This window comes from Homo sapiens, chromosome 1 (genome assembly GCF_000001405.40).
Source record: "Homo sapiens chromosome 1, GRCh38.p14 Primary Assembly".
NCBI classification, from domain to species: Eukaryota; Metazoa; Chordata; class Mammalia; order Primates; family Hominidae; genus Homo; species Homo sapiens.
In genome coordinates this window covers 143,707,614-143,735,381 of record NC_000001.11, presented here as the reverse complement: position 1 = coordinate 143,735,381, position 27,768 = coordinate 143,707,614, and the positions used below count along the sequence as shown (strand labels likewise).

Genomic DNA, 27,768 nt, shown 5'->3' with positions numbered 1-27,768 from the left:
GCTACTTGGGAGGCTGAGGCAGGAGAATCATTTGAACTTGGAAGGTGGAGGCTGCAGTGAGCTGAGATCACTACACTCCAGCCTGAGCAACAGAGTGTGACTCCATCTCAAAAAAAAAAAAAAAAAGAAAAAATGTTTTTGGGATGAAGTTGTTTTGGTTTTAGGATTACAAAGAATGCTGCAGTCACCATTCTTGTACACATATCTTTGGTCATTGTGGAAATGTCTACACTGCAGATATTTGTATAGTATAGACAACTGGGGGCTGGGCATGGTGGCTCATGCCTGTAATTCCAGCACTTTGGGAGGCCGAGGTGGGCGGATCACCTGAGGTCAGGAGTTCAAGGCCAGCCTGACCAACATGGAGAAGCCCCATCCTTACTAAAAATACAAAATTAGCCGGGTGTGGTGGCACATGCCTGTAATCCCAGCTACTCGGGAGGCTGAGGCAGGAGAATCAGTTGAACCCGGAGGCAGAGGTTGCGGTGAACTGAAATCATGCCAACAAGAGCAAAACTCTGTCTCAAAAAAAAAAAAAAAAAAAGAGAGAACTGGATGCACCACTGCTACATTATAGTGTTTATATAATGCTTCTAATTTGAGTACATTCTGCAAATGTGTCTTTCATGGAAGCAGTACCAAATAATATTCCAATATGAATATTTATAAGAGGAAAAATGTGCAGAAGTGCAGTTGAGCTTTGTGCCTCTCCATGGGGCCCATGTTCATAAAATGGTGGCATTAGCAATCATCTGAGAGTGGAGTTTGTGGCCCTCTGACATCAAAAGCTGAAGCAGAAGACATGAAAACTCTCACTGTACATCCTCTGTAGTCTGGCCAGAATCATTCCTAGGTCGGTGGTCTCTTATCAGGAGGGAATGCTGCTTGCTTGCTTTGTCAAAACCACAAAAGGGAGGGAAAGTATCAGGCTGTTGATTGATAACAGTAGTGAAGCAAGTCTTTCCAAAGAGTTGGTTTGTTAACCCGTAGGAAAAAAAAATCCTAATTCTTACCAGATGGTGCCATGCAGTTCCAGGCTCTTGGTGTCCCAAACGAAGAATGTACATGACACACACAAAGCAGCAAAGCAAAGCAAAAGTTTATTAAGCACAGTAACATTCTTGGAGTGGGGAGAGTGGGCTGACCTGTGGCAGATGAGATCAGTATTAGTTTGGTGTACTTTGGGTCTTTTTATGTGTGTTTTTTTTTCTTCTCTTCCCAAGGATGCCTAATCTTTAGCCAGTGTTTGCCTTTAGATTGATGGGTGGGTTGCTTAGTTACTTTGGCCCTCGTGTGCTTGCACATTGTCTCCACCCCATAATTTTAAGTACATGCAAGATATGTAGTCCATATGCATGAGTTTTAATGAGCTGATTATCATATGGAGTCATGTTAAGGATGCTTTTTTTCTTGAATGCACATGTCTGTCTCTGAGGAGCTGCCCCTTTACTGGTTTGGATCTTGCCAGCAATGGGGTCCTTGCTTGCTATTTTTTTTTTTTGAGACAGAGTCTCTCTCTGTTGCCCAGTCTGGAGTGTAGTGGTGCAATCTCAGCTCACTGCAACCTCTGCCTCCTGGGTTCAAGCAATGCTCCTGTCTCAGCCTCCTAAGTAGCCTGGAGTACAGGAGTGCACCACCATGCCCAGCTAATGTTTTGTATTTTTAGTAGAGATGGGGTTTCGCCATGTTGGCCAGGCTGATCTCAAACTCCTGACCTCAGGCGATCTGCCCGCCTTGGCCTCCCAAAATGCTGGGATTACAGGCGTGAGCCACCGTGCCCGGTCTTCCTTGCTTTTTTTAATCTTACTTTTTGTTTAGGTTGCTCAACTTCTGCCTTTTATTTTGCTTCTTGCTCTCCCGCCCCATCACCGTGCTTCTGTTTCTGCCTTTACTCATTCTGCCTTTTATCCAACTTCCAATTCCCTCTGCTATTCTCCTGCCTCATAATGGCAGTTAGTGAGGGAGGGGTTTTAAGGGGGCACGTCCGACCTCCTATCCTGTCACAGCCAGAAACAGCTTTCAAGGTTTCTCTGTGGTCCTGTCAGCCAAGAGGGAGTCTGTTCAGTTGGTTGTAGGGCCTAGGGCTTATTTTTATTTCTCAATCCTGACAAGGGAAGGCTGGATTAATGCAGATTCTCTGCAGGTGTAAATTTCCCCTACAAAAGACAGTTTTGCAGAGTTACTTCTGTTTGCTGGCTCTCTGACAGCCATCTTAAAATATACCAAAGAAATATATTCTGGGGTAAAATATTTTTATTTTCTTCATCTATCTACAGCGTCACCATACTGACAGCCTCCAGTCCAAGCATACCTGAAGCCTTTCTTTTTAAAAAGCTTTCTCACCCTTCTGACTGCCTTCAAGTCTCTGCCAAAACACAAGTAACAGTGGCTGACTCCCTGCCATAGCAAGCTCAGAATAAATAGCTTTTGCTTTTTTTCATTTGGTTGGTCTTCGTTTATTTGCAGAAGCTTCAATTTAGAGTTGACAAGGACTCCATCTTTGACCAAACCTTAGTAGTTTCCTCTGAGCCCTTTTCTCTATTAGTTCTTGGCCTGCTAAGTCCAGTTTTAGAAAAGAATACTGTTGAGTCTAGTTTAGCAAGAGTCCTCCCAACCACCTTTGATAGCTAATCAAGTTCCTCTTAGTAATTTTCCATCCACTGACTTTCTTATCTTGCCAATTGGCTATAATCTTCAACTCTTCCTGCTGTATTTGAGGTTGAGCTCGGTTCTCTGCTGGTCTCTCTTGCCTACTGTAGTACATACAATAAAATCCACCTCATGCTTTTAACAAGTGTCAGGGTAGTCCCTCAGAAACTACCTTTGCAAAATTATGACAATCAGAGAAATCTGACATGGCTGACTCCATCTTGGTTCTAGCCTCACAGGCTAGCTGTCTTTGCTCGTTCCTGTGCAATTTCTCCCAAGCTATCTTTGGGAAAAATTGAGTTTATAGTTTAAATCAGGGGTCCCCAACCCCCAGGGCCACAAGACAGGTACTGGTCCATGGCCTGTTAGGAACCCAGCTGAACAGCAGGAGGTGAGCTGCAGGCTTTGGAGCATTACCACCTGAGCTCCGCCTCTTGTCAGATCAGCATCGGCATTAGATTCTCATAGGAGCTCGGACCCTATTGGGAACTGCACATGTGAGGGATCCAGATTGCGCACTCCTTATGAGACTGTAACTAATGCCTGATGACCTGAGGTGGAACAGTTTCATCCAGAAACCATCCACCACCCCCTTCCATGGAAAAATTGTCTTCCGTGAAACCAGTCCCAGGTGCCAAAAAGGTTGGGGACAGCCAAAAATGTTGGTTAAAATGATAACCTTCCCCAAAACTAAATTACCCCATAAAACTAATGAAAGGCCACCAAGTTAGGAGGATGAAAGGGGCCTGAATTCTACTAAGATGTATGCCTCGTTAAATAATTACCAGCCATTATTCCAGAGGTCACAAGATTTGCAGCTTCCCCAATTACTGCTGTGAAGAACATCACTATTGTAGAACCTAAGATTGGCCTCTTGAGATGTCTTTTCAGGCTTTTGCATTTCTGACTACTGGATGGCACCATTTGGCCCAAAAATCAACCAGTCCCTTAGCTCCCACCCAGAAGCTGACTCAATGCAGGAGGGCATTTTCCACACCCCTGTGATTTCATCCCCAACAATCAGCACCGCCCAAACCCTAGCCCCCTCCCCACCAAACTGTCTTTGAAAACCCTTTACCTCCAAGTCTTCAGTGAGATCGATTTGAGTAATAACTCTGTCCCCCACATGTCGTGGCTGGCCTGTGTCAATTAAACTCTTTACCTCAATGCCATGGTCTCCATGAATTGATTTTGTATGTACAGTGGGCAGGAAGAACCCATCAGGCGGTTACATCTGCAGGATGGTGCCAGTTCTTTCCACAAAGGCTGGTCAGATACCCAGAAAGTATTTCTCCACTACTACCTGGACAATGTGTCTCCCTGTCAGTATCCAGGGAATGGGGCCTGGCTCAAATATTTAGTATTCAGCAGTTATTACTACACTGTCACCTAATCTCTCATTTTCAATATTTTGCCATGCCTTCCAGTGGCCTAACTGGCCACCATGCCACAGAATCTTTACTTTATGGTCTCCAAGGAGAACTCTCCACTCGATGTTTTGTGATTTGAGCAATGGAATAGAATCTGATACTGGTGGCCTGGGGAAAGTCCCCGGACACTAGTGGGATCTCGACCCCAGCTGTGGTGTCCAGGCTCTTGACACCATCTCAAGAACAAAGTCAAGGATGAGTCAGCAAACAGTGAAAGAAGAGATTTATTGCAAAGCAAAAAGTACACACTCAAGAAAGGGGAGTTCGGGCATACCCGACAGAGAACAATGGGTTCTGGGGTTTCATCTTGATTGGTTTCTCTAACCAAGGAGTGGAATAGTCATGAAAATTCCTGGGTAAAGGTGGAGATTTCTCGGAACTGTGGTGCCATCCATTTTTACATCACATATTGGTCTCAGAACTGTCATGGCACTGGTGGGTGTGTGATTTAGTATGTTAATGAGCATATAATGAGGGCCTCGGTAAAACCTACATCAAATCCAGCACCACATTGGGTCCAGTCAGTCTTAGCCAGCTTGGTCCACACCCTGGTTTTTCAGCGTCTTATCAGCCCATAGCCTCAAGTCATGTAAATCTGCTGCCTAGAATTTGTTACCCTGCGGCCACCCTGTATTATTCCTGCCTCAAATCTACTTGTAAATATTCAAATGGTCTTTGACTTGGGAATTCCAACTTTACTTACTTCACAGTGTTTCCTGCGTTATAATCCAATGTAAGAAAAGATGATCCAGACATTTGTTAAACATCTCAAATAAGATGTATCCCAGGTATTTGTGTCAAATTTGGATTATTTTGGTTTTGTCTTTGCAGAATATAAAAAACTAACGTGAGGTAAACACTAAGGTCTGGAGATGGCTGTGCAAGAGATGACAAAGTCCAACACCACGCTGGAGAGTGTCCAATCATCTCTTCTGGGGCAGCATATTTTTCTACAATACTGAAGTTGGAAAACAACAGCAACAACAACAACATCAAAAGCAAACAAATAAACAAACAAAAACCTACAAGATTCATGAAACTGGACAACTGTCTTTATAACATTACCAGTGATAAAACCAGTAAGGAAGGCTGGTTTGCAGTCATCTGAGAAGCCTCTTTCATTTCATAAATATGGTTTCTCTCTGACATTGAACGGCTTCCAATTTCAAGCGGAATGCTACATGACAAGGATAAGGATGTGAAGAGAACCGGTTTCTTTTGTAATCCTAAACGTTCTCGTCTGAGAATTAAAAGCCATTATTTGAAGAACGGTGCCCAGGCTCCAGCTGGCCACTGAAAGGTTGCTCCGCAGCGCAGGCTAAGGACCAGCTTCTTCGGGCGAGAACAGATGCCGGGGCGGGAGGGAAAAAAGGGAGAGACAGACGTCACTTCCCCCTGCCGGCTCCGGCAGCGGGTTGGTAGGCTGAGCGGCAGAAAGGCAGACGGGGACTGGGAAAGGCACTGTCGGTGACATCACGGATAGGGCGACTTCTATGTAGATGAGGCAGCGCAGGGGCTGCTGCTTCCCCACCTGCTGCTGCGCCACGAAGGATTTCCCGTGCCGTGGGAGCGGGTTCAGGACCGCTGGTCGGACCTGAGAGTCCCAGCTGTGTGTCAGGGCTAGGAGGGCTGGGGGTGGGGGGGGGGGGGGGGGGGGCTGCGCGGGGCAAGTGACCGTGCGTGTAAAGGGTGAAGCGTGTGAGGCTGTGGCGGGGCGGAGGTGCAAGATCTCATACTTACCTGGCAGGGGAGATACCATGATCACGAAGGTGGTTTTCCCAGGGCGAGGCTTATCCATTGCACTCCGGATGTGCTGACCCCTGCGATTTCCCCAAATGTGGGAAACTCGACTGCATAATTTGTGGTAGTGGGGGACTGCGTTCGCGCTTTCCCCTGATTTTTTGTAGTTTAAAGAATAGTCTACACAGCAAGGGTTACTTGTTTTTTTTACTGGCTTGTGTTTTAGTCTTAATCGTTACTCTCACAGTCGAAGGCTGAGAAATAGTAGTAATATGTCGCTTTCTCCCCGCCCCGGGAGAAATAAGAATCGTCGACCTTTACACAAGCTAGCTAGCGCGAAGGCCGCACAGCTCTTCCTTTATCTAGGCGGGGCTGCTTTTTGCAGAGATTTGTCTGCCCATGGTCTGCAGTCTCTTGGGTTCTCAGGGTCTGTGAAAATCTACGTGTTTTTCCCTAGCCCCCAGTCACATTTCACACAGCCTCTGCTTCTAGCTGCAGCCCCCTCAGGAGTCTGTAGGATTTCTGTGCTAGCGGGGAATGTGTTCTCACCTCATAGAGCCGGCTACAAACTACGCAGGCGGGGGCTGTTCTTTGGGATGAAAGCAGGGCCTTTAGGGCTCTTAGCGCGTCCCCGTTGGGTTGTAGACATAACACGCTTACTTTGCGGAGTGGAACGGCTCTCCCGGAGCCCAGGTGTCCTAACGCAATTCATCGAGGCCCGCAGGTCAAAACCGCAGTCTCACCTGTCTTGGCCGAAATGCGCTGCGATCCTCCCTGAAATATAAGGCGGGAAGTTTTATGAGGAGACGGGTCCAGTTTCCCTACTATCTCCTGCCGTTTACATATCTAGTCTTTCTTCAGACTTTATTTAAGCGACAGCTTCTTGTTTGATGTCTCGCTTCCGCATCCCACAGCCATTGCCAGGCAGCTTTCTAGATAGCACCCCGACCCATCCTTCCCACCCCCAAGCAGCCCTTTCCTATTTCTGGCGCCAGTGTCCTCCCCCCTTCCTCTTTCTTCAGGCCCTCGCTTATCACCTTCATGGACAGAAAATACTTAGCTCTCTCTCAACCTGCAGTTTGCACCTGACACGCGTCAGTACCCTGGCAAATTCCTTAATACCCCTTCTCAAATGACACTGTAAATTCATCTTTTTTTTTTTTTTTTTTTTTTTTGACGGAGTCTCGCTCTGTCGCTCAGGCTGGAGTGCAGTGGCACGATCTCGACTCTCTGCAAGCTCAGTCTCCCGGGTTCACGCCATTCTCCTGCCTCAGCCTCCTACCAGTAGCTGGGACTACAGGCGCCGGCCACCACGCCCGGCTAATTTTTTGTATTTTTAGTAGAGACGGGGTTTCACCGCGTTAGCCAGGATGGTCTCGATCTCCTGACCTCGTGAACCCTCCCAAAGTGCTGGGGTTACAGGCGTGAGACACCGCGCCCGGCAAATTAATCTCTTTTTAACTCCCAGAAGTATCTAATTGGTTTTGTCCCTGCACTACATGAATACTACAGAAGAAAACCCCAGGCCTAGCGATGGCGGATCTGGGCATTGTGCCAGCCTCTCCCAGGGTATGTTTTCTGACCTCACCTACTTCTGATCAACTGAGGTCAGGAGTTCGAGACCAGCCTGACCAACATGGCGAAACTCTGTCTCTGTTAAAAATACAAAACAAAACAAAACAAAACAAAAAAAATAGCCAGACGTGGTGGTGTGCGTCTGTAGTCCCAACTACTTGGGAGGCTGAGGCAGGAGAATCGCTTGAACCCGGGAGGCGGAGGTTGCCGTGAGCCGAGATCGTGCCGTTGCACCCCAGCCTGGGCGACAGAGGGAGACTCTCTCTCAAAAACAAAAAATAAAAAACAAAAACAAAACAGACAAAAAACAAAAAAACTAGTCCATCTGAGACATATTATTGGAGACAGTAGAATCCTGTATCCAACAGGCACTTGGTGCGTATCTGAACCCACTGAGCTATTGGCTCATGTTCCCTCTGTTCTATTAAGTATCATGAGCAGAAATTGAGCTCTTTGGCTTTTACCCACTAAGTATGGCTATAGGACAGGTCTCTCTCTCTCTCTCTCTCTGTCTCTCTCTCATTATTGCATCATTATTTTTTGCCATCAGTGTGAGTTTTTGGTTTTGATGTTATGAAGTGAATTTCTGGGGACAATCTCTGTTGGGTTGTGTTGATAAGGATCTACTCCCTGTTTGGACAGCTAATCTGGTCTGTGAGTCTTTTTTATTGCCTATTTATTGTCCTGAGAATAATGGTATTTCTTGATATTTGAGACTGCAGCAATAATAAGCTGTTCATATCTTGTCTTTCCAATATTTGGTAAAAGTTTTATGGGCCCAATAGTTGTCAAAATCTGCAAGAGTGGCATCTCTGTTACAAGGGTGATCTTACTACTCCACATCCCCCCTCCCATTCAACTTCATTCCATAGGAGCTCTTGGCTTTAACAAATTTACTATATCTAAAAGACATCTTAGTACAAGAAGAAAACTAAATCTGTAGCATGTAAGGAGCAGTTTTCTTTGATTGGTATATTCAGGTTTCTAACCAGCTGAAAAATTCAAATACACGTCCTTTAAGGATTAAGTTTAAACCACACTACAGAAAGGAGAGAAAAGATTTATATGATCACATATAAGCAATGGAATCAGCAATATGAGCACTTTTCACAACTATACAAATCAAATTTAATAATCTCCAGAACATTAAGGAAGTTCAGCCCTTAATGAAAATGAATGAAAAGAAATTATTCACCCATTGTTATATGCCCTGGAAAGAGAATGTCCTGCCGGACTCAAAAGGGTATCACAATATTACTCAGATTTTTCAGCAATGAAGGCCCTCCAAGGATCTAATGATGTTAATATTTTCAGTTTATTTCCTTCACTGATAAACATTGTTAATAGATACCATTGTCTCTGTTTTCACCTTAAGTGATGTTACTTAGCAAAATTTGTTTCTTTAGAATGCCCCCTAGTTTGGTGGAAGGAATTTTCCTGCTTTATGAATGTAGGGTATTTTCTCATGAAACAAATTGGCATACTCTTTCAGTGAAGTGAATAGATAAATTAGGTCTCTAAAATTTTAAAGGAGTCACTGCCCCAATTATCTTAGGAACAATAATAATCACTTACATAAGATTAAAATAAGAAAATTAAGCCAGGTATGGTGGCTCATGGCTGCAATCCCAGCACTTTAGGAGGCTGAGGAGGGAGAATCAATTGAGGTTAGGAGTTGAAGACCAGCCTGGGCAACATAGTGAAACCCCTGTCTCTACAAATTTTTAAGTATTAGCTAATTTTTTTAAAGTTGGCTGGGCATGATAATGCATGACTGTAATCTCAGCTACTAGGGAGACTGAGGCAGGCTGCAGTGAACTATTATTGCACCACTGCCCTGCAGCCTGGGTGAAAGAGTAAGACGCCCAACTCAAAAAAAAAAAAAAAAAAAAAAAAAAAAAGAAAAGAAAAAGAAAGAAAATTAAGAATTTGTTGAAAATTGTTTTACTACAATGCTAGGCTGCATGTCTTGCACCTGTACTCCCAGCAACTCAACAGGCTGAGGCAGAAGGATTGCTTTAGGCCAGCAGTTGGAGACCAGCCTGGGCAACAGGGCAAGACCCCATCTCTAAAAAAATGCAAGGCAAGCTGAACCAGGAGGATTGCCTGAGCCCAGAAGTTCCAAGTTGGTCTGCTATGATTGTCCTGCTGCACTCTAGCCTGGATAACAGAGCAAGACACTGTGCCTTATTTTTTATTTCATTTTACTTTTTTACTACTTATGATTATTTATTTATTTATTTTTGAGGCAGAGTCTTGCTCTGTAGCCCAGGCTAGAGTGCAGTAGTGCGATCTTAGCTCACTGCAAGCTCCGCCTCCCAGGTTGAAGCTATTTCCCTGCCTCAGCCTCTAGAGTAGCTGGGATTACAGGCGCATGCCACCATGCCCAGCTAATTTTTATAGCTTTAGTAGAGACAGGGTTTCACCATTTTTCCCAGGCTGGTCTCAAACTCCTGACCTCAAGTTATGCACCTGTCAGCATCCCAAAGTACTGGGATTACAGGTGTGAGCCACCTCGCCCAGCCTACTTAGGATGCTTGAAATGTGAGGTTTCATTAGGGAAAAATTTTCTTGTGGAATTTCTAACATGAAAAAATAATAGATTTAGCTGTAGATTAAATTAATGGTCTTGATAGTTTGGTACAATAAAATAAATGAAATGAAGTTGATAGAGAGGAATCTTTGATGCTTTTGAACAATTTAAATAATGTAAATATTTAATATATAAAGACATGAAAAAATTCATTATGTTATTATTTTTTTAATTTATTTTATTTTATTTTATTTTTGAGATGGACTCTCACTCTGTTGCCTAGGCTGAAGTGCAGTGGTGCAATTTCAGCTCACTGCAACCTCTGCCTCCCGGGTTCAAGTGATTCTCCTGCCTCAGCCTCCTGAGTAGCTGGGATTACAGGCACACACTACCACACCTGGCTAATTTTTGTATTTTTAGTAGACACGGGGTTTCACCATGTTGGTCCGGCTGGTCTCAAACTCCTGACCTTGTGATCTGCCCTCTACGGCTTCCCAAAGTGCTGGGATTACAGGCGTGAGCCACTGCACCCAGCCCATTACATTATTTTTCAAAAATCAGTGTGACTCTTTTGACAAATTAGAATGGTTTAATGATCTTAGTTAGGCTGGGCGCAGTGGCTCATGCCTGTAATCCCAGCACTTTGGGAGCCCAAGGTCAGGAGTTCGAGACCAGCCTGGCCAACATGGTGAAACCCTGTCTCTACTAAAAATACAAAAATTAGCCAGGCATGGTTGTGGGCTCCTGTAATCCCAGTTACTCAGAAGGCTGAGTCAGGAGAATTGCTTGAACCAGGGAGGCAGAAGTTGCAGTGAGCCAAGATCATGCCACTGCACTCCAGCCTGGGTGACAGAGTGAGACTCTGTCTCAAAAATATATATATATATATAAAATTAAAATTATGTGTTCAAGTAAATTAAATACATAGCAATGAAAAGGAGGCTTAGCATGACTAACTGCATTTTGCTCCTAACCCTTCCTGCCCTGTGGTGATATCTTTCAGGCCAACTGCTTTTCCTTATTTCTGCAGATAGGCCCCTCCCGAGCTATCTATGGGAGGGATTTAGCTTACAGTTTAACTTTAAAACACAGATGATCATAATCCCTTCCCCAAACTGACTCCTGAAAAGATAAAGAGGTTGTATGCACAAGTAACAGTGTTATGTTGAAGATTTATAAGAGCATTGTGACCTGACAAAAGACAAAGAATTTTCACCATCCCCTTTGGCTCTCACTGCAGCCCATAAGTCTGTCATTGTCAGACCTCTTCACCTCAACCACCTCCTTCTTCCTCCCTTCCCTAACGTACAAGGAGCCTGAAAATCATATTAATTTAAGATGGTTCTTTAGAATATTTGTTCACCATCTCTTCAGTTTGGTGGCTCTCTGGAATAAAGTCACCTTCCCTGCCCCTACACCTTGTCCCTGGACTTACTGGCTGTCATGCAGCAAGCAGTGAGTGCAGTGTGCAGTGAGCTGAGATCACACTACTGCACTCCAGTCTGGGTGACATAGTGAGACCATGTCTCAAAAAAAAAAAAAAAAAAAAAAAAGGGAGAGAAATTTGGTTTTACAACCAGACAAATTAAATGGGAGACTTACTTCCAATGAGACCTAGAAATTTCTAAATTTCTAAATTTCTAAATTTCTAAAAGAACTGAGAAAATTGCCTCCATTGAGGAAATAAGCTGAAGGAGGTAAACTGACATTTTCTGAATTGAGAAATATTGAGGAGGCTTTGTCTCTTTCGCCTCCAACTGCTCCTTTTCCTCCTGCCCCTGCACCTGCATAGTCTTTCTTACCTGAGCCTTCCTGTCCTGCCTTGCCTCTTCTTCCATTACCATCACCTGAGGAAAGTCCCCAGAGCTCTGGCCCCTTCCCTGAAACTTCTGTTCTGACAGCCCCTTTCAAGGTAAAACCCAAACCCACAGGAAGAGGGGAGCCTACCATTGTGTATACCGCTTCACCAAAACGTGAATTAAGATTATAAAGGACTTCCCTGATCTAAATTTAAATACATTTCGCTCTTCTGTTTCTAAAGCAGGCTCCAAGATCCCACAGGGTGTGGCAGAAAATTTGACTTAACTGTTGAAATCTTTGAGCCCAAATATTCTGACCTTTATCAATTAATTCACATGATGGTGAAGAAGGCAAGGCCACTAACTGGTTGCAAAAGGCAAATTGGAAGGATTTTCAAAAAGAGACTGAAGCAGAACATGAAAGGTTCACATTTTAGCCAAATATCTCCATGTTGCCATTCCCCAGGTCCTTCCTAAAAATATAGATTGGAGGCTAATTCAGCAACGTACTAAAAAGCCAGACATATCTGTCTTTGCTTACTCAAAATGGTTTGAGAGCCAGGCGTGGTAGCTCATGCCTGTAATCCCAGCACTTTGGGAGGCCGAGGCAGGTGGATCACTTGAGGTAAGGAGTTAGAGACTGGCCTGCCAACATGGTGAAACCCTGTCTCTACTAAAAATACAAAAATTAGCCGGGTGGCTACTCAGGAGGCTGAAGCAAAAGAATCACTTGAACCCAGGAGGTGGATGTTGCAGTGAGCTGAGATCCTGCCACTGCAATAGAGCCTGGGCAACACAGCAAGACTCCATCTTAAAAAGAAAAAAAAAAAAAAGAAAAAAATTAGCAGGGTAGTAGAAATATAATGCACACGAGAATGACAATCTGTATTCCAGAATAGTAAAGGAACCTATTCCATTAGGGAGCCAACTGAAAACATCAAATCCCAGTTCACACCCCAGGGTGTGGTGTCACGCACCTGTAGTCCCAGCTACTTGGGAGGATTAGTAAGGAGGTTTGCTTGAATTCGTGAGATCAAGGCAGAAGTAAACCCTGATCATGCCACCACACTCCAGCCTGGGTGACAGTGAGACCTTGTCTCAAAAACAAACAAACAAAAAACCCCACAAAACCAAGCAACAACAACAAATTGTCATATCACTCTGAAATGACAGTGGCAAACATCACTTTGCTATTGGAAAATTAAAAGGAAAACACTCCCTCTTGCTATCAACCTGGTCCCTTGCTCTAACATGTCTGACCCATGGTTTAAAATGCCCAAAAGCTGATGTACTCAAATTATAGTACACTTACCTGTTCTGCACCAGCATTTATTTTTGTCTGGAGGAGATCACCATCCATGGTCCTATAAATGTCTAACAGCATGGAATGATGAAGGGCAGTGTCTTTTAGGATATTTGGATATATATTTATATATATATATAAATATATATTTATGTAAATATATATATATTTCTGAAGAAACCCAACATTGGGCGAGTTCCCTCAAACTTTTCACTAGTCATGACCACTGCTCTATTTTAGATAGAGATTCTGTGGGGCAAAACCTGAGAATTATCTGCCTCGCTATCAAGAAGATAGCTCTTTGCATTTTTGGGGGAGAACACTTTGCTTCAGGGGACTGTTTCCTCCCAGGATTACAAATCTTTCTGTAACCTCAGGAAACATTGCTGATGAAAATCAGGCATGGTGGCTCTGGCCTGTAATCCCAGTGACTCTGTGGCTGAGGCAGGAGGATCACTTAAGCCCAGGAGTTCGAGGCTGCAGTGAGCTGTGCTGGCACAACTGCACTCCAGCCTGGGCCACAGAGCCAGACACTGTCTTCGAAAGAAAAAGAAAGAAAAACACTGCTGTTGAAACTGCAGCCTCTTTTGCAGCTCAATAAAAAGCTATTTATTCACTGGCTAAGGTTGTACTAGATAATCACATCACTTTAGATGACATATTTAGCTGAGCAGGGAGATGTATGTGTGGTGGCAAATACCTTTTGTTGCATATACATAAATATTTCCCATGCAGTAGAGACGGGGTTTCACCATGTTAGTCAGGCAGGTCTCGAATTCCTGACCTCAGGTGATCCACCCGCCTCGGCCTCCCAAAATGCTGGGATTACAGGCGTGAGCCACTGTCCGTCCCGGCGAAGAAGAGAACTTTTATGAGGAGTGTGAACCTTTTCAAATTCTCAGGCCCAGAGAGGCATTACATTAAGACTGCAACCACATTCCGCTTCCTTTTTGTACAGTACTGTATTTGAAAAACAAAAAACCAAACCTACAAGATTCATGAAATTGGACAACTTTCTTTATAACACTACTACTGGTAAAACCAGTAAGGATGGCTGGTTTGCCTCTCTAGTTTCATAGATATGATTTCTCCCTGATATTGAAGGGCTTCCAATTTTAAGCGGAATGCTATTTCACAAACATAACCAGATTTGAAAGGAACCAGTTTTCTTTGTAATCCTAAACGTTCTAGTCTGCGAATTAAAAGCCTTTATTTGAAGACGGGTGCACAGGCTTCCAGCTGGCCGCCAGAAGGTTCCTCCGCAGGGCACAGGTTAAGTAGTCACCTCTTTGGGAGAGACTAGATGCAGGGTCTTGGCGCACCTCCCCAAAGGACAAGGCGGGAAGGAAAGGAGGGACAGGCAGACGTCACTTCCCCCGCCTGCTCCGGCAGCGTGTTGGTCGGCTGAGTGGCAGAGGGTGGGGCGGAAGAACAGAAGGGGACTGGGAAAGGCACTGTCGGTGACATCACCGATAGGGCATTTCTGTGTAGATGAGGCAGCACAGGGTTGCTGCTTCGCCAGGGAGAATTCCCCGTGCTGTAGGAGCAAGTCCAGGACCGCTGGTGGATGTGAGAGTCCCAGCTGTGTGTTAGGGCTAGAAGGGCTTGGGGTGGTTGGGGATAGGCGGGGGTGGTTCTCAGGGCAAGTAACCGTGGGTGTAAAGGGTGAGGCATATGGAGCTGTGGCAGGGCGGAGGTATGTGGACTGCCACTTATCTGGCAGGGGAAATCCTATGGTTACCAAAGTGATTCGTCCTAAGTTTGAGGCTCATCCATTGCACTCCAGATGTGCTGTTCTCTTGTTGTTTCCCCTAATGTGTGAAGCTCAGCTGCATAACTGAGCTTCACAGTACTTGACTTACTCCAAGACCAGCAATAGATAGAGCCCTAGCAGATCCTTGATAACACTGTCTGAAAAGACAGAGCCCCAGGGAATGAGTTCCAGAGACTCTGTCTACACAGTCCGCCCCTAGCACGGATAAGGATAAGAGGAAAAAACAACAAATGCCTTTACTACCTTCTCTTTCCCCCTTACCATTTCTGGTTTTGTAAGTTCCTGACTTCCCTTCAGTGCAGCTGCAAGGTCACCAGCTATGCTTGCGTTGCAAGACCTGTCAGTTTGATTAACTGCCTTCTTTCTGCTTCTGTAAGCCCTCTAGCCTGCCCAGCGAGTTTTGCGCCAGCAAATTCCCGCGACGCAATTCAAACTAGCCAACCCCCCCTTTCAGAAGAGTGTATAAAAGTCAAACCTTGGCCATGCATGGTGGCTCACGCCTGTAATCCCAGCACTTTGGGAGGCTGAGGCGGGCGGATCAGGAGGTCAGGAGACCGAGACCATCCTGGCTAACACAGTGAAACCCCATCTCTACTAAAAATACAAAAGAATTAGCCGGGCATGGTGGCGGCAGCCTGTAGTCCCAGCTACTCCAGAGGCTGAGGCAGGAGAATCCTGTGAACGTGGGAAGTGGAAGTTGCAGTGAGCTGATCTCAAAAAAAAAAAAAGTATTTTAGAATCTTTTGGCAAAGGAAATGATTTCTGACAGGTTTTGCACTTAAGACATTCAGGTATGAGGAAAACACGAAAACCGCTATGCTAGGGAAAGCAAATGCTGTTGAGAATGTCTCACAAACACAGACTGCACATCAGCAGATAGGTTTGACCCTCAGGTTGGGCACATTTTACTTTAAGTGCACTGTTGGTGGAACTTAAGATGAATCTAGGACATTCACAATGTATGTACGTATGTGTGTGTGTGTGTGTGTGTGTGTGTGTGTGTGTGTGTGTATGAGAGACAGGGTCTTGCTATCTTGCCCACACTGGTCTCCAACTCTGGGCCTCAATTGATCTTCCTGTGTTCGCCTCCCAAAGTGCTGGGACTACAGGCATGAACAACCTCGTCCAGCCCATTTTAATGTTTTTAATTTAAATACACATTCCAAAAATTGTATAACAAGTACAGGAAGCCCACTTTATGCCAGTTTTACAAAAACAAAGTGGCAACATCCTAAAGTACTGAAAGAAATAAAGTTTTCCTAGAATTCTATGTCGAAATGAAAAATCTTTCCAGAATGTGACTGAAATGAGGACATTTAAAGACATACAAAAAATGAAAGAACTCAGCAACCCACACTGCAAGAAATGCAAAAGGAGTCCCCCAGGCCTAAGGATAAGGATACCAGACAGAAAACTGGATCTACATAAAGAAATGGAGAGTACTGGAAATTGGTATGTACATAGTTAAATATATATGTTCTTATTATATAAATCTTTTAAAATAATTTGACCGATTAAACAAAAGCAATAATAATGGATTCTGGGGTTTGTAACATGTCTAAAATCAAATTACATGACAACACTAGCATAATGGCCAGAAGGGGAGGTATAATGTCACTTGATGGCACTGATGAAGATGTATTCTGGAAACCCGAAAGCCATCACTGAAAAAGCAAAAGCAGGAAAAGAAGCTAGGGAGCGGTGGACCAGATGAAAGAAACAGTTATAGATAATAAGCCAAGAAAGGAAAGAAAATGGAATGATATAAAAACCATGTAAACACTATGCTGGAGCAACTGCTCTCCAGGCCTCTACACTATAGAAATACACCAGTGGCCAATGAGAAGTGTACAAGAATGATGACTGCAGCATTATTTGTAACCATAAAATAATAGAGCCAATGTACTTTCAAAGATACATGAAAAGGGTTTTATTTATTTAACAAACACAAACAATTGTACAAACGAAGCAAGTCCTTTGCCAAAAGGAACACAGAGGGTCATGATGATGCTACTTCTCCTGGGATTTCAGGGTTCCCAGATGCCTAGTTTTCTGTCTAGTTCTTCTGGAAGATGTTATTGTTTGGGAGTTATAGGTCCTCGCGTTTGGAGCTATTCCGTGTTCTCTCTCAATTTTCCCCTCAGTTCCTCCCTATTCTGCTTCAACAACAACAACAAAAAACAATTCTCACCTCCAGAAGATCCAGCCTGTGCCTCTGCAAGAGGCCTTCGGGAGGTCTGGATGTCTGGTCCACCGCTCCCCGGCTTCTTTCCCTGCTTTTACTTTTCCCTTCCCCCGCTCCTGCCCTTCTGCCTCAGGACCCTACCACCGCCCAGCTGAGCCCCCGCGGCTCCACCGCGGCAGAAAGGTGCACTGGAGGCCCTGCCCGTTGCCCGCCCCAGGGGATGCTGAGAAATCAACGTGAATAGACCCTTTGAAAAAATAACTTCCCCATGGAAAAATCTCATGATTTCTATTCTTGGGGTTCTTCAAGAGACTAAAAGCTAAAGGCGACGATGGCCCCCGGGAGGTCGAAGCTGCAGTGAGCAGTGTTTGCACCACTGCACTCCAGCCTGGGCGACCAAGCGAGACCCTATCTCAAAAGCAAAACAAAACTTCCCCGTGGAAAAATATTTCATGATTTCCATTTTCAGGGCCCTTCAAAGGACTAAAAGCTAAAGGGGCAATGGATTAATTCAACAAGTCCTAGTCGTGCGCGCTGGTAAGTGCCAGACCCTGCTCTCCGCGAGAGGACCCACGAGCCACCCTCACCACAATCCCTGCTCTGTGTCCCAGTGCGGGACACAGGATCGGAAGATGGCAGCGGAAGTTCCGCAGCGGCCTCGAAAGTGACTGGGCAGGGTGGGCACAGGCTCCCTCACTGGGTGAAGGCTGCGCAAAGAACGGGAAGAGCCATCCCGGGAGCCCACTGGGCATTCAGCTTCCCTTAGGCCCCCAGGTGGCTCAGGTCCGGGTCGGGGCCGGGGCGTTTCCGGGGGCTTCTAAAGCAGGCTAGGGGCAAGGTCGTCCTGGTTCCAGAATCTCCCAACCTGCGGGTCTCCAACGAGACCAACACAATTCACCGCTGTAATCTCTCCGGTTTTCCAAGGCCTTGCACAGTCCTACTGTCTGGTGGGCTCTGAGGATGGGAGGGTTGGGGAATGTTTGGTGAGTGCACCCTTCCTATAGCGCCCAGAAGAAGGTACACTACGTGTCTCTGTGGCACAATCGGTTAGAGCGTTCGGCTGTTAATCTAAAGGTTGGTGGCTAGAACCCACTGAGGGACGGCTGCTGCTCCAAGCCTGCTCCAGATTTTTTTTTTTTTTTTTTTTCTGAGACAGAGTCTTGCTCTGTCGCCAGGCTGGAGTGCAGTAGGGCGATCTCGGCTCACTGCAACCTCTGCCTCCCAGGTTCAGGCGATTCCCCTGCCTCAGCCTCCCGAGTAGCTGGGAATACAGGCGCACGCCACCCTGCCTGGCTAATGTTTTGTATTTTAGTAGAGAGGGAGGGTTCACCTTGTTGGCGAGGATGGTCTCGATCAGCTGACCTCGTGATCCGCCCGCCTCGGCCTCCCAAAGTTCTGGGATTACAGGTGTGAGCCACCGTGCCCAGCCGCCTGCTCCAGCTTTTAAAGCGTTCGTGCATTATCGATCACTAGATAAGTGGGGGAGATTATATCTTCCCAGAGTCCTAAGCCACTAGGGTTGTGTCTCTGTGGCACAATCAGTTGTCGCTTCCGAAAGGCCTAGCTAACTTTTGTATTTTTGTAGAGAAAGGATTTCATTATATTGCCCAGGCTGGTCCCCAAACTCCTGGGCTCAGGCACCTCCGAGGTCTCCCAAAGTGCTAGGATTACAAGCATGAGCCACTGCACCGGGTCTTATATAATGCTTCTAATTTCAGCACATTTAGCAAACTTATCTTCTGTGGGAAAGGTACCAAATCATATTCCAATTTATTTCTCAACTCTAATAACGTCCCTTTCTTCATTTACTTGCCGACACAACAGATTTTCTCCCCCCCCCTCCCTTTTTTTTTGAGACTACGTGTCGCTCTGTCACCCAGGATGGAGTGCAGTGGCGTGATCTCAGCTCACTGCAAACTCACCGCCCATCCCTGCCACCCCGGCTCTAGTGATCCTCCAGAATAGCTAGAACTACAGATGTGCACCATCAAATCCTACTTCTTTTTCTTTCTTTTTTTTTTAGATAGGGTCTTGCAATGTTGCCCAAGTTGGCCCCAGGAACCCCAACTTCTGGGCTCAGGAGATTCGCCTGCCTTGGCTTCCCAAAGTGCTGGGATTTCAGGTGTGAACCACCGTACCCGGCTTAACAAACTTTCTATATATGTGCCCATAATATTATTTTCTTTCTTTTTTTTTTTTTTTTTTTGAGACACAGTCTTGCTCTGTTGCCCAGGCTGGAGTGCATTGTAGTGATCTCAGCTTACAAGCCTGTACCATCACACCTGGCTAATTTTTGTATTTTTAGTAGAGACAAGGTTTCATCATGTTGGCCAGGCTGGTCTCAAACTCCTGACCAGCCTCCCAACATGCTGGTATTACAGTCATGAGCCAGCACGCCTGGCCATGTGCCAATGATATTCTAATAACGGGACAAGTGCCTTCCTGGCTTAAGTAAGGGGGAGGTACAACAGGAGGACATGGTGGACATCACACACAGGTATTCAGTTGCATAGGATGGACAGCTAAACTTCTAAGACATTTTACTTTTTGAGATAGGGTCTTTTTCTGTTGCCCAGGTTGCAGTGCAGTGGTATGGTCATAGTTTACTGTAAGCCTCAGCCTCCTGGGCTCAAGTGATCCTCTTGCCTCAGTCTCCCAAAGTGCTGGGATTACCAGCCTGAACCACTGCACCTGGCTGAGATATTTTAAACTCCTCCAACATCTGTAATTGTTTCTTTTTTATTTTATTGTATATATAATAAAATATATACATATTTTATTATAATTATCTGAAAGTAAATATATACAATTATATATTATGTATAATATGTATATATTTGATTATATATTATATTTTATTATACATATTTATTAATATATATATGTATGTAGTTTTTAGAGATGAGGTCTCACTATGTTGCCCAGGCTGGTCTCGAACTCCTGAGCTCAAGTGATACTCCCATCTTGGCCTCCCAGAGTACTGGGGTTATATGCATGAGCCACTGTGCCTGGCCTTGTTTCTTTTTCAAATTTAATTTATGTATTTTGAGACATGGTCTTACTCTGTCACCCAGGCTGGAGTGCAGTGGTGTAATCATGGCTCACTGCAGCCTCGACCTCCCTGGGCTCAGGGGATCCTCCCACCTCAGCCTCCTGAGTAGCTGGGACTACTAGCATGGACCACCATGCCCGGCTAAATTTTGTATTTTTTGTACAGACAGAGTTTCATCATGTTGCCCAGGCTGCTCTCCAAGACAGAGTTTCATCATGTTGCCCAGGCTGCTCTCCAACTCGTGAGCTCAAGTGGTCCGCCCACCTCAGCCTCCCAAAGTGTTGGTATTATAGGCATAAGCCACTGTGCCCAGCCTGTAATTGTTTCCTGTGGTGACCAAGTCACATTGGTCCAGAGAAGACAGGTCACAGTGACCTCTTTGACAGCCTTCTGCCAAGTCACTTATCCAAAGGGAGCAAAATCACAATGGTCCCAGACATTTTTTTCTCCTCTTTCCTCTTTTATTTATAAATCTTGATTTTACTTTTATTTGATGAAAACCATCTAATGCCAGTTTCCCTTCTATATTAATGGAGAATGGGCATGCAGATAAGTGTCTGTATATTATTTCTTGACTAATTTTTTTCAGAGGCTATGTCCATAAAAATTAGCCCATCTGAGACCCATCATGGGAGCCAACAGAATCCTGCAGGCCCCTGGTGCAGACTTGGATCCTTAGAGCTATTGGCTCTTGTTCCCTCAGTTCTTCTGTGTTCATGAGCAAAAATTGATCTCATTTGCTTTTATATACTAAGCATTGTAATTGGACAAATCCTTCCTCTATCTCTCTCTCTTTCTCTCTCTCTCATTTTTGCATCACTGATTTCTGCCATCAGTGGCATCAATGTGGGTTTCTGGTTTTGATGTTATGAAGTGAATTTCTGGGGACAATCTCTGTTGGGTGGTGTTTGACAAGGATCCAGTCCCTGTTTGATGATACATGACAGCTAATCTAGTCTGTGAGTCTTTTTTGATTGTGTATTCATTGTCCTGAGGATAACGGTATTTCTTGATATTTGAGACTGCAGCAATCAGAAGTTGCTCATATCTTGTCTTTCCAACATTTGGTTACAATTTTTTGGGCCCAATAGCTGTCAATATCTGCAAGAGTGGCATCTCTATTATAAGGATGACCTTACTACTCAATGCCCCCCTCCCATCTAACTTCATTCCATAGGAGCTCTTGGCTTTAACAAATTACTATACCTAAAATAAATCTTAGTACAGAAAGAAAGAAAGAAAGAAAGAAAGAAAGAAAGAAAGAAAGAAAGAAAGAAAGAAAGAAAACTAAGTCTGTGGCATGTAAGGAGCAGTTTTCTTTGATTCATATACTCAGGTTTCTACTAGCTAAAAAACTCTAACCAGCTGAAATACATGTTCTTTAAGGATTAAGTTTAAATCACACTAGAGAAAGAAGAAAAGAGATTTATATGATCACAAATAAGCAATGGAGTCAGCAATATAAGCACTTCTCACAACTATACAAATAAAAACTTTTTTTTGCTTAAGACAGAGTCGCGCTCTGTCACCAAGGCTGGAGTGCAGTGGCACGATCTTGGCTCACTGCAGCCTTGGCCTCCCGGGTTCAAGTGACTCTTGTGCATCAGCCTCCTGAGTAGCTGGGATTACAGACATGTAACACCATGCCTGGCTAATTTTTGTACTTTTAGTAGAGATGGGTTTTTGCCATGTTGGCCAGGCTGGTCTCAAACTCCTGAACTCAAGTGATCTGCCCACCTTGGCCTCCCAAAGTGCTAGGATTACATGCATAAGCCACTGCGCCTGGCCACAAATCAAATTTAATAATCTCCAGAACATCAAGGAAGTTCAGCTCTTAATGAAAATGGATGAAAAATGATTTACTCACTTTTATGTGCTCCGGAAAGAGAATGTCCTGGAAGACTCAAAAGGGTATCACAGAATTACTCAGATTTTCAGCAGTGAGGGTTTTCCAAGGATCTAATGATGTTCATTTTTTCAGTTTGTTTCCCACACTGAGAAGCATTATTAATAGATACCACTGCATCTGTTTTCACCTTAAATGATGTTACTTAAGGCAATTATTTGCTTTTGAATGACCCCTAGTTTGGTGGAAAGAATTTTTCTGATTTATAAATAAATCTTCTTATGAAACCAATTGGCATACTCTTCCAGTGGAGTGAACAGATAAATTAAGTCTCTAAAACTTTAAGGAGATTACTGCCCCAGTTATCTTAAGGACAGTAATAATTACGTATATAAAATTAAAATATGAAAATTAAGCAGGGCGTGGTGCTCACACCTGTAGTCTTAGCACTTTAGGCAGCTGAGGAGGGAAGAAGGATTGAAACCAGGAGTTCGATACCAGCCTGGGCAACATGGTGAGACGCCTGTCTCTACAAATTTTAAAAAATGAGCTGATTAAAAGAAAAACTAGTCAGCACAGTGGCTCACGTCTGTAGTCCCAGATGCTTGGGAGGCTGAGGCAGGAGGATCACTTGAGCCCAGGAGATCCAGGCTGCAGTGAACTATCATTGTACCACTGCACTCTAGCCTGGGTGACAGAGTAAGACCTCAACTCAAAATAAAATAAAATAAAGAATAAGAATAATTTCTTGACTTTTTTTTTTTTTTTTTTTGCAATGCCAGGCTGGTTGACTCACACCTGTAATCCCAGCAAATCAGGAGGCTGAGGTGGGAGGATTGCTTTAGGCAAGGAATTGGAGACCAGCCCGGGCAACAGGACAAGATGTCACGTCTAAAAAGTTAAAATTCAGGCTGAGCTGGGAGGACAGCCTGAGCCCAGAATTTCCAGGTTTGTCAGCTGTGGTTGCACCAGTGCACTCTCCCCTGGATGACAGCAACACCCTGTCTCTTACTTTTTTTTTTTTTTTTAACTACTTATGCTTTAAATGTGATGTTTCATTAGGGAAAACTTTTCTTGCTGAATTTGTAACATGAAAATATAATAGATTTAGCTGTAGATTAAATTAATGGTCTTGGCTGGGCATGGTGGCTCACACCTGTAATCCCAGCACTTTGGGAGGCTGAGGCGGGTGGATCATCTGAGGTCAGGAGTTCGAGACCAGCCTGGCCAACATGGTGAAACCCCATCTCTACTACAATACAAAAATTAGCCAGGCATGGTGGCTGGCACCTCTAATCCCAGCTACTCAGGAAGCTGAGGCATGAGAATCGCTTGATCCCTGGAGGTGGAGGTTGCAGTGAACAGAGATCATGCCACTTCACTTTAGCATGGGTGGCACAGTAAGTGAGAGTGTGTCTCCAAAAAAAAAAAAAAAAAAAGAAAAGAAAAGAAAGAAAAGAACTTTTTCATGTGAGGAAAATGGGCGCTTTCAAGTTACCATGCCTAGAGCTAGGCATTAAAATGAAACACCAACCACATCCTACTTCCCTGCTTTTTAAATTTTTTTAAAAAATAATTTATTGTATTGAGATGGAATCTCACTCTGTTGCCCAGGCTGGAGTGCAGTGACAGGATTTTGGCCCACTGCAACCTCCTCCAGTCGGGTTGAAGTGATTCTCCTGCCACAGCCTCCTGAGTTGCTGCGACTAAAGGCATGAACCACAATGCCTGCCTATTTTTTTTTTTTTTTTTTCTGTATATTTAGTAGAGACAGTGTTTCATCATGTTGGCCAGGCTGGTCTCAAACTCCTAACCTCAGGTGATCTGCCCACCTCGGCCTCCCAAAGTGTTGGAATTATAGGCATGGGCCAGTGCCACTGGCCACTTCCCTACTTTTGAGCTATGTATTCATCCACTGAAACTGCTTGCTATTGCCACAGTTAGCTATAAAGTAACCTAATCACATGCACTGGACACCATCTCTCACTCCCTGTAGCTGAACAATGTATAGCTAATCCCTAATCAATGTTATTTCTGTAAACCAGTGGGAGTTCCTGATAAGCAACTTTCTACCAGCCAACTCCCTGTCTCCCTTTTTGGTCTTTACAAACCTGCTTGTAACAAAGGCCAAACAGAACCCATATCCAAGATTGCTTGGGTCTCAGCCTTCCAGGCAACTATCCTCACATTGGCTCAAATAAACTCTTTAAATCATATTTTGTGCTTAAGCCCCTTCCTTCTAGGTTGACGTTTTTGGCCCTGGGAGCAGGATTCAGAGCAACTCATCTCTGACCATCTGACTATCCTCTCAAAGGCCTCCAGGGTGGCTACATAGTAGTAAGAATTTCATTGGTGAGATCAGTTTGCAGTCCAGGAAGAGACAGTCTCTGGTGTGTGTCTTTGAAAAGGTGCTTTCTCTTCAGAGAGAGAGAGAGGGCAGTTTGGTTTTAGTGCCTCACAGGGTGTGTATCACACAATGGAGTTATACATATTCAGCAGGTTTGGAGAAACGCCATTTCTGAGGGGTATTGAGCTCATGTGCAAAGGGTAAACATATATGTAACATGCACCCCATCTTCACATTGGGAAGGGATTTTAGCATTAAAATAAGGTGGAAATTGGCTTTTTATGTCAAAAGGTGAACTGCTGGACACCAAGTCGGTTTGTGTGCAGTCCCTGTAACATGGCTGAAACTGGCTTGATATCCGCAGTTGCTTATCAGGAGAGAATGGAAGGCCACTCTTCTGTCCCATCAGAGGTCTAGTGATCTGGGTTGTAAATCCAGTTGAGAAGGGCTGGGAAGGTTTTGACAATTTGCTTGCTAGTTCTATTGTTAAGGAGTTTAGCAAGAGTGTGGTTTTTCCTGTAGCCATAGGAATTCAGGAAGTTGCCATGCCAGATGAGCCCTGAACCCTGGACAAGTAGCTAACTTTTGTTTCCTTAACTTTCGAGTCTGCCTTAGTCTCTAAGGGGGCATGTATTTTCATCTCTCAGATCACACCACATTCCTCCTGGACTGGGTGCCTGGCCAGATCTGAAGCCCTTGAGTTCTGACTCTGAGAGAAAGAGTTGGGCAGTAGTAAGTGGTGAATCCTCCTGAAATCTGGACCTTCCCACTCTTTGGTTGAAGGCCTGGAGTTTGCTTGAGTGTCCTTTCCAGCTCTCCCTTTCTAGAACGGAGGTTTTCTGTCTTTACCCTGTGAGTAAGAGATTTGAGTTTCAGGGGGAAATAACTGCCTTTTCCACCTCTGCGTCAGGACAGAAAGTTTGGGTCACAGTCAGGCAAAGAGCTCCCCAGAGAGCTTCTGCCTTTTCTGCCTCTGTTCCTCAGCAGGAAGATCTGGGCCAAGGTATTGGCAGGTATGCTCTGGTGGTTTCGTTTTATGTAGCATGTTGTTTTGAACATTCGGACTTAGCTTTTCATTTGTGACTAGTTCCTGTTCTTAACTGGAAAGTGCACGGAGGTGTGTTCCCTTGCCCTGAAGAAAAGAAGTGATCTGCTCCCGCTGATCCATTCAGGTGCTCCAAGTGATCGGGGATGTTGCAGAGGTGTCGGGGTCATTACTCACCATGTGAAGGTGGCCTCATAGGGCACTCCCTATCAGAAGAACATCTTTATGAACCCCCTTTCCTGCTCTTCTGGGAGGGCATATGTGGGATGGGTCCCTCATAGCACATGCACTCTGTGGCCACCTGGTGGTTAGAAACAGTGGGAACCACTGAGACAGCAATACACAACTCCGGTGTTATCTGTAGGAGTGACTTCATAAGCACCACACTGTGACCCAAAACACATCGCAGGCCTTGGTCATCTGAAAAGCTCCTGAATTATGGGAAATCAAGCTTCAAAATTTAGCACACTGCGAAGAAACAACCACCTTTAGAAACATCAGCTGGGTTTATGTATAACACTTATGAGGCATTCTCTTGTAAATATCCAAGAAACTGGACCCACCTAACCAGGAAAAATCATAAGCAGAATGAAGAAAATGGGGATATTTTGAAATGCTTAAAATAATTTATTAGTGTGCACAATTGGAAAAATTTGGTTTTAGAACCAAATTAAATGGGAGACTTACTTCCAATTATACCTAGAAATTTCTAAAAGAACTGAGAAAATTATCTCCAGTGAGGAAGTAAGCTGAAGGAGCTAAACTGACATGTTTTCTGAACTGAGAAATATTGAGGAGGCTTTGTCTCTTTCGCCCCCAACTGCTCCTTCTTCTCCTGCCCCTGTACCTGCATAGTCTCCCTTACCTGAGCCCTCCTTTCCTGCCTTGCCTCTTCTTCCATCACCATCACCTAAGGAAAGTCCCCAGGGCTCTGGTCCCTTCCCTGAAACTTCTGTTCTGACAGCCCCTTTCAAGGTAAAATCCACAGGAAGAAGGGAGCCTACCATTCTGTATACTGCTTCACCAAAATGTGAATTAAGAATATCATAAAAGACTTCCCTGGGCCGGGTGCAGTGGCTCACGCCTGTTATCCCAGCAGTTTGGGAGGACTAGGTGGGCAGATCATGAGTTCAGGAGTTCAAGACCAGCCTGGACAACATGGTGAAACCCCATCTATACTAAAAATACAAAAATTAGCCGGTCATGGTGGCACATGACTGTAATCCCAGCTACTCAGGATGCTGAGGCAGGAGAATCACTTGAACTTGGGAAATGGAGGTTGCAGTGAGCCAAGATTGCACCATTGCACTCCAGCCTGGGTGACAGAGCAGGACTCTATATCAAAAAAAAAAAAAAAAAAAAAAAGATTTCCCTGATTGAAATTTAAATACATTTTCCCCTTCTAATTCTAAAGCAGCCTCCAAGATCCTATAGTGTTTGGGAGGTAATTTGACTTAATTGCCCAAACTTTTGAGCCTGGACATTCTGATCTTTATCAATTAATTCACATGCTGGGGTAAGAAGGCAGGGCCATTAAATGGTTGAAAAGGGCAAATTGGAATAATCCTTTAGAGGATTCTTAAAAACAGACTGAAGCAGACAATGAAAGGGTCTGCATTTTGGCCAAATACCTCCATGTTGCCATTCCCCAGGTTGTTCCTAAAAATGTAGATTGGAGAATTCAGCAATGCACTTAAAAGGCCAAGCAAATCTGTCATTGATATTTTAAACGGTTGAGATTTATTTATTGATTGTTTGTGACAGATTCTCACTCTGTCACCCAGGCTAGAGTGCAGTGGCTCCATCATGGCCCACCACAGCCTCAATCTCTCAGCTCTAGCAATCCTCCCACCTCAGCCTCCCAAGTAGCTGAGGTGCGTGCCACAATGCCCAGCTAATTCTTTGTTTTTTTTCTAGAGATGAGGTCTCGCTGTGTTTTCCAGGCTGGACCTAAATGAACTCCTGGGCTCAGTCAATCCTCTCACCTCAGCCTAACATTTACACTGGCAGCAGAGGTGCATTTGGAGTAGGTGATGATTTTGGAATGCTTTAGAAGCAACATAGGTTTCTGATTTCATCAGTTCAAGCCATGAAAAATGACCAGTAAGTCTCTGACCTCTTAGAAGCAATTTGAAAACCTGAATCTTTGGCCATCATCAAAGGAGTTCCTGGTCATTCAAAATTAGATATTCCGGAGAGCAAGGGCAACCATTTTGCTGACGCTGCAGCTAAGAATGCAGCTCTGAAGGTGACATCAGACACAGAACTTCTCAAAATGACCTTGCTGACTTATGACCCATTGAAGACTTCTTTAGAAGTACAAGTGGGCTGAGCATGGTGGCTCATGCCTGTAATCCCAGCACTTTGGGAGGCCGAGGCGGGCAGATCACCTGAGGTCAGGAGTTTGAGACCAGCCTGGCCAACATGGTGAAACCCTGTCTCTACTAAAAATACAAAAATTAGCCGGTGTGGTGACACATGCCTATAATC

The 27,768-nt window shown here is 44.6% G+C and overlaps 1 non-coding gene and 2 pseudogenes across 1 annotated transcript, besides 3 other annotated features; all 3 read left to right on the top strand.

The window, feature by feature from the left end:
* Nucleotides 5,496-6,432: an enhancer, noted in NCBI's record as "OCT4-NANOG-H3K27ac-H3K4me1 hESC enhancer chr1:149223601-149224533 (GRCh37/hg19 assembly coordinates)". NCBI's record gives its function as "activates a minimal SCP1, AML or CMV promoter by ChIP-STARR-seq in naive and primed H9 embryonic stem cells {active_cell/tissue: H9 hESC(naive and primed)}" and the evidence as "EXISTENCE:reporter gene assay evidence [ECO:0000049][PMID:30033119]".
* RNVU1-18 (RNA, variant U1 small nuclear 18) lies at nucleotides 5,812-5,975 on the top strand. Its single transcript, NR_004400.1, has one exon. It is a non-coding gene; the product is annotated as an RNA, variant U1 small nuclear 18 (small nuclear RNA).
* Nucleotides 6,433-7,364: an enhancer, noted in NCBI's record as "H3K27ac-H3K4me1 hESC enhancer chr1:149222669-149223600 (GRCh37/hg19 assembly coordinates)". NCBI's record gives its function as "activates a minimal SCP1, AML or CMV promoter by ChIP-STARR-seq in naive H9 embryonic stem cells {active_cell/tissue: H9 hESC(naive)}" and the evidence as "EXISTENCE:reporter gene assay evidence [ECO:0000049][PMID:30033119]".
* Nucleotides 14,738-14,872, top strand: RNVU1-23 (RNA, variant U1 small nuclear 23; annotated as a pseudogene).
* TRN-GTT22-1 (tRNA-Asn (anticodon GTT) 22-1) lies at nucleotides 18,018-18,091 on the top strand (annotated as a pseudogene).
* Nucleotides 24,164-24,665: an enhancer, noted in NCBI's record as "H3K4me1 hESC enhancer chr1:149205365-149205866 (GRCh37/hg19 assembly coordinates)". NCBI's record gives its function as "activates a minimal SCP1, AML or CMV promoter by ChIP-STARR-seq in naive H9 embryonic stem cells {active_cell/tissue: H9 hESC(naive)}" and the evidence as "EXISTENCE:reporter gene assay evidence [ECO:0000049][PMID:30033119]".